The 9,052-nt window shown below is 42.2% G+C and overlaps 1 protein-coding gene across 5 annotated transcripts in view; it reads left to right on the top strand.

Annotated features, from left to right (window-relative positions):
• The window catches only part of HIBCH (3-hydroxyisobutyryl-CoA hydrolase), a 130,092-nt gene continuing 126,493 nt past the window's right edge, over positions 5,454 to 9,052 (top strand). For all 5 annotated transcript variants that reach the window (XR_922903.3, XM_047443905.1, NM_198047.3 and 2 more), the window contains exon 1: positions 5,454 to 5,564. Coding sequence is in view for 4 of the 5 variants with exons in the window: in XM_047443905.1 (XP_047299861.1) it covers positions 5,530 to 5,564 (35 nt within the window). In the remaining variant the exon portion in view is untranslated. The remainder of the gene's footprint in view (positions 5,565 to 9,052) is intronic.

Raw genomic sequence — 9,052 nt, 5'->3', positions numbered from 1 at the left:
TGCTCTTGTTGCCCAGGCTGGAGTGCAATGGCGCAATCTCGGCCACTACAACCACCACCTGCCCTGTTCAAGAGATTCTCCTGCCTCAGCCCTGGGAGGAACAGCCTGTAGCTGGGATTACGGGCATGTGCCACCACGCCTGGCTAATTTTTGTATTTTTAGTAGAGACGTGGTTTCACCAAGTTGGCCACGTTGGTCTCGAACTCCTGATCTCAGGTGATCCACCTACTTCAGCCTCCCAAAGTGCTGGGATTACAGGCGTGAGCCACCGTCCCCGGCTGTAATTTAATATTTTCTAGTAGCCCCATTGAAAAGGTAAAAAGACACAGGTAAAGTTAATTTAAATAATATATTTTTTCTAACCCAATACATCCAAAATACTGTTACTTTAACATGTAATCAATATAAAAATTTTAACACTGCTTTAGTTTTTAAATGTAAATTTTTAAAAATTCAGTTCCTCAGTTATACTAGCCACATTTTAAGTGCACAGTAGTCAACTGTGTCTAGTTTTGGAAAACATAGCTATAGACAATTGTGAGATTATTTAGCAGCTTAATAATACATCAAAAGTTGTATCTTAGGAAAATTTCTTTTCAGTGAAATGCAGAATGAATTGAAGGGTGTGATGGTTGAGGGACAAGAGAGAAGTTAGATCTGGAATGAGTTACAGGTGGGTACTAGAATGGTAGCAGTGGAGGTGTCGAGAGGATAGAACAAATCTGAGAGATCTTTCAAAGAAATAACTAGTATGGCTTCATGACTGATTGGCAATGAGGAAAGAAAAAAATGAAATCAAGTATGATAGCCAGCCTTCAAACAGCCTGAAAGGATCCTTGTGTCCGAGTATTCAAACTCTTGTAAAATCTTCTATACTGTACTGGGGTTGGTCCGCGTGACCAATAAAATAAACAGTAGTGACAGTTATAAGGTACTGTGGCTTCTGTCTTGGTGCCTCTTTCTCTGGGCTCTTTCTCTCCAGAGGAAGCCAGCTGCCACACTGTGAGCAGCCCCATGGAGAGGCCCACGTGAAAGGACCTGTAACCTGCCAACAACCACATAAGTTTGGAAGCTGAGCATTCAGATGACTGCAATCCCAGCCAACGCTTTGCAGCCTCATGAGAGACCCTGAGCCAGAACCACCTGGCTAAGTCTCTCCCTGATTCCTGAGCCTTGGAATCTCTGAGAAACAATAAATGTTGGTTGCTTTAAGCTGCTAAATTTTAGGGGTAATTTGTAACAGAAATAGATAATTGAACAATAATTAAAAAAAGACAATATCAAACACGAATAAAAAGATAACCCAATTTGGCCAGGTGCGGTGACTCACGCCTATAATCCCAGCACTTTGGGAGGCCGAGGCAGGTGGATCACCTGAGATTGGGAGGTCGAGACCAGCCTGACCAACATGGAGAAACCCCATCTCTACTAAAAATACAAAATTAGCCAGAAGTGGAGGTTGCAGTGAGCCCAGATTGTGCTATTACACTGCAGCCTGGAAAACAAGAGCAAAACTTTGTCTAAAAAAAAAAACAAAAAACAAAACAACAACAACAAAAACCCCAATTTAAAAATGGGCAAGAAAATTAAAAGAAGATAATAAGCATATGAAAAAGTGCTCAACATCATTAGACACCAGGAAAATGAAAATTAAAACCACAAGGAGATAACACCACACACACACCAGCATGACTAAAATTTAAAAGCCTGATAATACAAAATGTGGCTGAGAATATGGAGCAACCAGAATTCTTTATTTAAAAATTAAGATACAATTTACATACCACACAATTCACCCATATAAAGTATATGATTCAGCCAACTGTCAGCACTATCCATTTTAGAATATTTTCATTTCAGTGTAGTCCAACCATCACCACTATTCATTTTAGAATATTTTCATTACTCTACCAGAAAACCCTGTGCCGCTTAGCTGTCACTCTCCAATTCTCCTGCCTCCTCTCCAACCTTAGGCAACCTCTCGTCTACTTTCTATCTGTACACATTTGCTTATTCTAGACACTCATGTAAATGGCATCATATAATATGTGGTCTATTGTGACTGGCTTCTTTCATCTAGCACAGTGTTTTCCATGTTTGCTCATGTTGTACCATGTATCGATACTTCATTTCTGTTTCTTGCCAAATAATACTTCATTGTACAGATATATAACTTTTGTTTTTACCTATTCATCAGTTGATGGACATTTGAGTTATTTCTACTTCTTGGCAATTATGCTGCCATAAACATTATGTACAAGTTTTTGTGAGGACTATGTTTTCATTTATTTTGGGTAAATACCTAGGTATGGAATTGTTGGGTCATATGGTCTCTCTGTTTAGCCATTTGAGGAACTGCCAGACATTTTTCCAAGATAGCTGTACTGTTGTACATCACCAGTGGTGTCTGAGGATTCCAAATTCTCCTCACTAACACTTGTTTTTTAAAAAATTATGGTGGGTGTGAAGTCATTGTGGTTTTGATGTGTATTTCCCGATGGCTAATAATGTTGAGCATCTTTTCATATGAGTATTGATCATTCATATATCTTTTTTGGAGAGCTGTATAGTATATTCAAATCTGTCATCCATTTTAAAATTTGGTTATTTAAATTGTGATAGTTCTTTACATATTCTAGATAGCCTTTTATCAAATATATCATTTATAAACATTATTCCTCATTCTGTGGATTGTATGCCACCAGAATTCTTTTCCAAAATGATACAAACTCTTGAAAAAAGGGTCTGGCTGTTTCACATAAAACCAAACATTGATGTACCCTATAACCAAGACATTCTATTTATAGATATTTACCCAAGAGAATAGGAAACATATGTCTACAATAGATTTACACAAGAATGTTTACAGCAGCTTTATTCATAATAGCCCCAACTGGCAACAGCCCAGGAATCTATCAGGAGGAGCACAGATCAGTAAACTATGGGGTATTCATATAATGAAATACTACTCAGTAATAAAATGGAGGAAACTACCGATACACACGATATGGACATTTTGCTAAGTGAAAAATGCTATACAAAAAAAGCGCACACTGTATGATTCCATTTTATATGAATTTTCAGAAGATGCAAAACTAATTGATGGTAGAGAAAAATCAGACTGGGTGCAGTATTTAACACCTGTAATCCTAGCACTTTGGGAGATCGAGGCGGGGAGATCTTTTGAGCCCAGGAGTTGGAGGCCAGCCTGAGTAACATGGCAAGACTCTATCTCGCAAAAAAAAAAAAAATACAAAAATTAGCTGGGTGTGGTGGCATGTGCCTGTAGTCCCATCTACTCAGGAGGCTGAGGTGGGAGGATTGCTTCAGCCCAGGGAGGTTGAAGCTGCAGTCAGCTATGACTGTGGCACTGTACTCTAGCCTGGGTGATAGAGTGAGACCCTGTCTCAAAACAAACAGTGGTTCTCGAGACAGAACAGTGGTTGCTTCTGGGGCGGGGGTTGGGGTGGGGAAGGCAGTGGTAGGCAGAGAATGTCTGGGAAATCGTGAGAGGAAACTTTTTGGGGTGATGACAATGGTTTATATCTAAGGAATTTTGGTTACACAAGTGTATACATTTGTCAAACTCAGTGAATGTACACTTAAGATTTGTGCATTTTGTTGTATGTAAATTTTGTCTCAAAAGGGAAAATATGTAAACAAATATTTAACTCTAGGTAGTAAGACACATGCCATATTTTGGGAGAAGTAAAACGATGCTTGTAATTAACTTTGAAATGCATTTAAAAATAAGGTATTTGGGATAAGGAATAAAGCAAGATAAAATGTAAATCTAGGTAGAATCTATGTGGTGAGCACATAGGCGTTTGCTTTAAATTTTTATAATTTTGCTATATGTTTGAAAATCTTCAAAATAGAATGTTAAGATAATTTTCTTTAAAGGACTGAGGTTTCTAGAGCGGGAAGCCAGAAGACGATAGCATCATTAGAAGAAATAGAGAATTTAGGAATAGGAAGGACAGCTTGGTGGAAGGTGTGGCATAACTGACAGGTCTTGATACCTACGAAGTCCTAAGTAATTTATGCACATATTTCTATATTTCAATGGATCTTCACAAACACCTCTAATCATCAGCACATCCATTTTCAGATGAGAAAATGGAGGTTCTGAAAAGCTATATAATTTGTTCAAGGTCATTAAACTATTAGTGTGCTAGGGGTAGGACTGATTACATAATTTGCAGGCCTAGTGTAAAATGAAAATTTGTGTTTCCTTGTTCAAAAATTATTAATAGCACAGCATTAAAACAAGCACAGGGCCCTTCTAACGATGAGGCCTTGTGAGACTCAGGTTTCACACACATGAAGCTAGGGCGGCAAGGAAGATTTGAATCTCAGTCTGACTAACAGGAAAGCCCATGCTTTTTCCAGTAAACCATGCTAGGTCAGATGAATGGTTCATTTCTGTGCGCAGTGAATGAGGCATGATGGTGATGTCAGATGGTGATGTCCTGTAGCCAGTTAAAAACCAAATTGCAGGTAAGGAGTTCCTTCTGTGATGTCTGTTGTCTGTCCTCTTCTCAGTGGGCATTTGGTTATTACATTTGACCTAGGTTAGCAACGTAATTTTTGATCAAAGTCTCAACAGTGTATCTCTTTAAATATCAAGGTACTAAGAATAACTCCTTTCATGTGTCCTCTCTGAAATTTGTCACCGGATTTCTTCTTTCTGATAAATGTGTCAATACTTAATAGTGGCGATGAAATGTCTTCTGCTACACATCTGGGTGGATCTGGAAGCGGAGGAACGTTTTCCTCAATTTAACAGTGGATCCTAGTAGTTGAGTTAAATGTTGGTTTCATTTAAGAGTAAGCTACTTTCTGAATGTAATTATGCTTCCACTGATAACAGCAACTTTTACTTTAGTTGGGAAGACATATCTATTATGTCTTAATCAGACAACTCTTGTGTGTCTTTGAGGAAGAGTGGGAGATCTGTAACTTTTCCCAAGAAAAATGAAAATGTCTCAATCCTAATATTAAAGGAATTCGGCTGTATTGGGTTAGGAATGAATAAACTACATCGATGTCCTTTATCAACTGTAATTCCTCTACTTGAGTCTCAAAGAATACTAAGTTTACGTTTTAATAAAAAATTACTAAAATTCCAGAAAAGTCTTTCACATCAGTCCCTGCTGGTCAAATTGGCAGGCCAAGCCTAGACAACAGGTTGCGCTTTGGGCTAAGACAGCCTCTAGAGGGCAATCTCCTTTCCTGCGAATCCGCCCTAGTCCGTTCTATCCTCCCTCTTCCCGCTCCGCCTCAGCTCGCTCTCCGCCTTCTCCCTGGCCCGGTCCCCGATCCCTTCCTCTCCCTCAACTATTTCCTCCAGGCGTCGTTCTTGCCCCGCCCTTCCCCGTCGCGTAGCGGAAACGGTCGCTCTGGCTTCCTGGAGGACTTGTCATCTGTGCCCGGCGGCGCAGGACGGCGGTGGGCGGGGCTCACGCGAGGCGCTGGAACGGTCCGGGAGATTCTCGCTCTGCTGCTTTAGCTTCGGAGTGTTTGGCGATGGGGCAGCGCGAGATGTGGAGGCTCATGTCGAGGTGAGTGAGAGAGCGAGGGGCCAAGGGCAGGCTCTTCAGCGGCACTCGCCACAGTGGGAAAAGGGCCGGGGGTGGAGACTGCTGGCCTCGAAGTTTCGAGTCGCGCTCAGAGGCGCCGCTGTGAGACCCCAACCTTGGCCCTCCCCAAGCCCCAGCCCCCGTCCCTGTCTTTCCTTTCTCCCTCTAGCATCTTCTTTGCAGCAGCACTCTGGTTTTCTGCCACTCTGGCTCTTAATTCAGGCTTGTCCCCACACGACTTTAATTCTTTTGGCCTCAGTTTCTTTCCTTTCTTAAAAGTTGGGTGCAGTCTGGGGACACGGACAGATTTAGCTTAGCGGAACTGTGCGGCATGTTTTGTGCAGCCAGCACACACAGGTGCTTTGCCAGTTGCTGCACCTCTCTCTGCCCGTGGTGTGATTTTATTCAGCTTTCTTGCATGGCTGCAGCGTCAGTATAGGCATTTGGAACTTTCAGGCTAGTGTTGAGGGACATTTAACGTGGCATGGGGGAGCATGTTTGCAAACATTGTTTAACTTTTTGAAAGTACCCCTCACTGCGCTTTGAGCTCAGCCTAGGAAATCTGGTAGCCATCATCTTTAGGCTGCATGCGCCTTAAACAGCCCACTGCCTGGCCCTGTACTGTCATACCAGGTAGCAGCTGCGCCCACTTGAAGGGAGAACCGTCCTTATTTCTTTAAAATAAGGACGACTTAAATTACTGGATTCTTTAAGCCTTAGAGTTTGCCTTCTGGGTTTCCTGAAAAGGGATGGAGGTGTTTCCTTGACTTAAGAAGAATAGTTTCAGGGGAAAGTGTCTAGATGTCTAACACTGTATCCACAGACCTAATTCTCAGTAAATTTTTGTTATACATTTAAGAGTTGCTTTTCTGTTTGTTTTTTTAATACCTTAAAATTAGTTGTCCTTGCACCAGCTCATGGAGAGATTTAGTAAATGCTAAGAAAATCAGTACACGTAATCGTTACTGCCGCTTTTTCAGTGTTGTCAGCAAATAGCAAATAGAGAAACAAACTGGAAAGACATGTTTGTTAAAGTTAGCTGACTTAGGAAAGGATCTGTCATTTCCACAATTCAGCTTGGCTTTCTTCCACCCCACGTTCCAAGATGCAGTACTCTGTAGGTGAGGCCAGGACCATTTTGGGGGCTTTGATCTGAGATGCCTTTTCCAGACTCAGCCCTGAAGTGGGTATTATCCTAGAAAGCAGAGGCCAAGATGGTCCAGTCCACAATACCCTAACCCACAACTGTATAAGGGAATAGGGTGCCACGGAAAGTGTTTCTGAGAGGAAAAAAGGCCTTGGGCCATGGTTGACAGTGTTGGGCAGCCCCACTTGAACTCTGGCCTCCCTTGGCTTCTTCGGTACTGGCCTACTTTTCTAATGCCACTCTCCACCGCCTCTCCTTACCCCAGTGCCAGTTTAGCTCTTGGACTTTTTTTTTTTTTTGGTTCCCAAATCATCTGTCTTAGGGTAACTCAAATTTTTGTCTAACCTGACTTGCCCTGAGCTCTAATGCTGGTCACAACCCTCTGAATGCCTCAGTTGCACCTCATATATAAATTTGCACTTAAGGGCTAGGCGCGGGGGCTCACACCTGTAATCCCAGCACTTTGGGAGGCCGAGGCGGGCATATCATCTGAGGTCAGGAGTTCAAGACCAGGCTGGCCAACATAGTGAAACCCCGTCTCTACTAAAAATACAAAAAAATTAGCTGGGTGTGGTGGCAGGGCCCTGTAATCCCAGCTGCTTGGGAGGCTGAGGCAGGATAATTGCTGGAACCTGGGAGGGGGAGGTTGCAGTGAGCCGAGATCATGCCACTGCACTCCAGCCTGGGCGACAGGGTGAGACTCTGTCTCAAAAAAAAAAAAAGGAAAAAAGGAAAAGAAAAATAAATTTGCACGTAAGTATAACCCTTACTCTTTGTCTCTCTTGGCACTATCATTCTTCTAGATTCTCAAACTTACCTAAGTTCTCCCACACTCCCAAACCTTAACCTCTTCCTGTGGATTCAGGTTTCAACAGTAGTCTCAAAGTTAATCACTTTTTCCTCTTCCCAGTGTGAATTGTTTCTGTACAAGATTGCCAGGTTAATCTCGCTAAGGTTTTACTTCAGTGCCTGCCATTCTTCTCAGAATCTCACAGAGGTGCCCTTCTGCTTATGCAATTAAATACAGTTTTACCAGTCTGGATTTCACAGATTTGGCCCCAGTATATTCATGGATGAACAATTACCTACTGTTCTGTTCTACTTGCTGGGAAGCACAGTTCTAGGCATTTCTATTATCCTGTAGCCACTCTGGACTACTTGGTTTTCCTACTGTTCCTTATGTAGGGCCCTTGGAGTCTGAAAGGAGAGCAGATAGGAAACACATAATTAGACAAAAGTAATTTTTGATTACCAATTCTGGTAAGTGTCTTAAGGGACAAGTACAGTTATGAGAGCCAGATTTAGATAGGGAGAGGGAGTCAGGAAGCCTCATCAGAGAGGTTGCTCTTCGCTGGGTGTGGTGGTTCATGCCTGTAATCCTAGCACTTTGAGAGGCCAACATGGGAGTTCAAGACAATCCTGGGCAACATAGCAAGACCCCGTTTCTACAAAAAATAAGAAATAAAAAAACTAGCTGGGTATGGTGGCATACGCCTATCCTTCCAGCTTGGGAGGCTGAGGTGGGAGGATCACTTGAGCCACAGAGTTCAAGTTTACAGTGAACTATGATTGTGCCACTGCCCTCTAGCCTGGGCAACATGGAAAAACCTAGTCTCTAAAAATAGAAATAACAGGAAGAGGGTACTTTTAGGTTGTTAATAGGCCTCATTGCCTTTTCCATCTCCTCCATCCTCTGCTGAACTGTATTGTTTTGGTTCTTGCTCTTTGCCTGTCTTCTCTTTTACTTCTAGTTAGTTGTTTCTTAGTTGATCAAAGGCTCAATCTTTGTTGCTCTTTTAGGTTGTTTTCTGTGTTAGGAATCATGAGCCTGAATGCAGAGGCTGAGAAGGAAGCATTGAAAGATGCTGGCTAGATGGCAGCATGGGGGACTGGTGAACTGGAGAGAGTGCTCTAGAGAGGAGGCAGCTTCTCAGCCCCAGCCATTGTTGCCCTTATAGAATATAGACCCAGGGTTTCCATTATTACTGATTTTTCTGGAAAACCTGGAAAAAGTGCAGTTTTAGGTGAAATGTCTTGATTTTTAAATGTTAGTAGTTTTTTTCTGTTTTTCTTCTTTTTAATCTCTACCATTCCATCCAGATAATGTTAGTAGTTTTAAAACTGCTCGGCTGGGCATGGTGACTCAAGTCTGTAATGCCAGCACTTTGGGTGGCTGAGGCTGGAGGATCACAGCCCATGAATTTGAGACCAGCCTGGGCAACATAGACTGTCTCTCTACAAAAAATTTAAAAATCAGCCAGGTGTGGTGGTGTGCGCCTGTAGTCTTAGCTGTTCAGGAGGCTTGAGTCCAGGAGATTGAGGC

This window comes from Homo sapiens, chromosome 2 (genome assembly GCF_000001405.40).
Source record: "Homo sapiens chromosome 2, GRCh38.p14 Primary Assembly".
Lineage (NCBI taxonomy): Eukaryota > Metazoa > Chordata > Mammalia > Primates > Hominidae > Homo > Homo sapiens.
The sequence above is the reverse complement of the archived record's forward strand: the minus strand, read 5'-3'. Positions and strand labels throughout refer to the sequence as shown.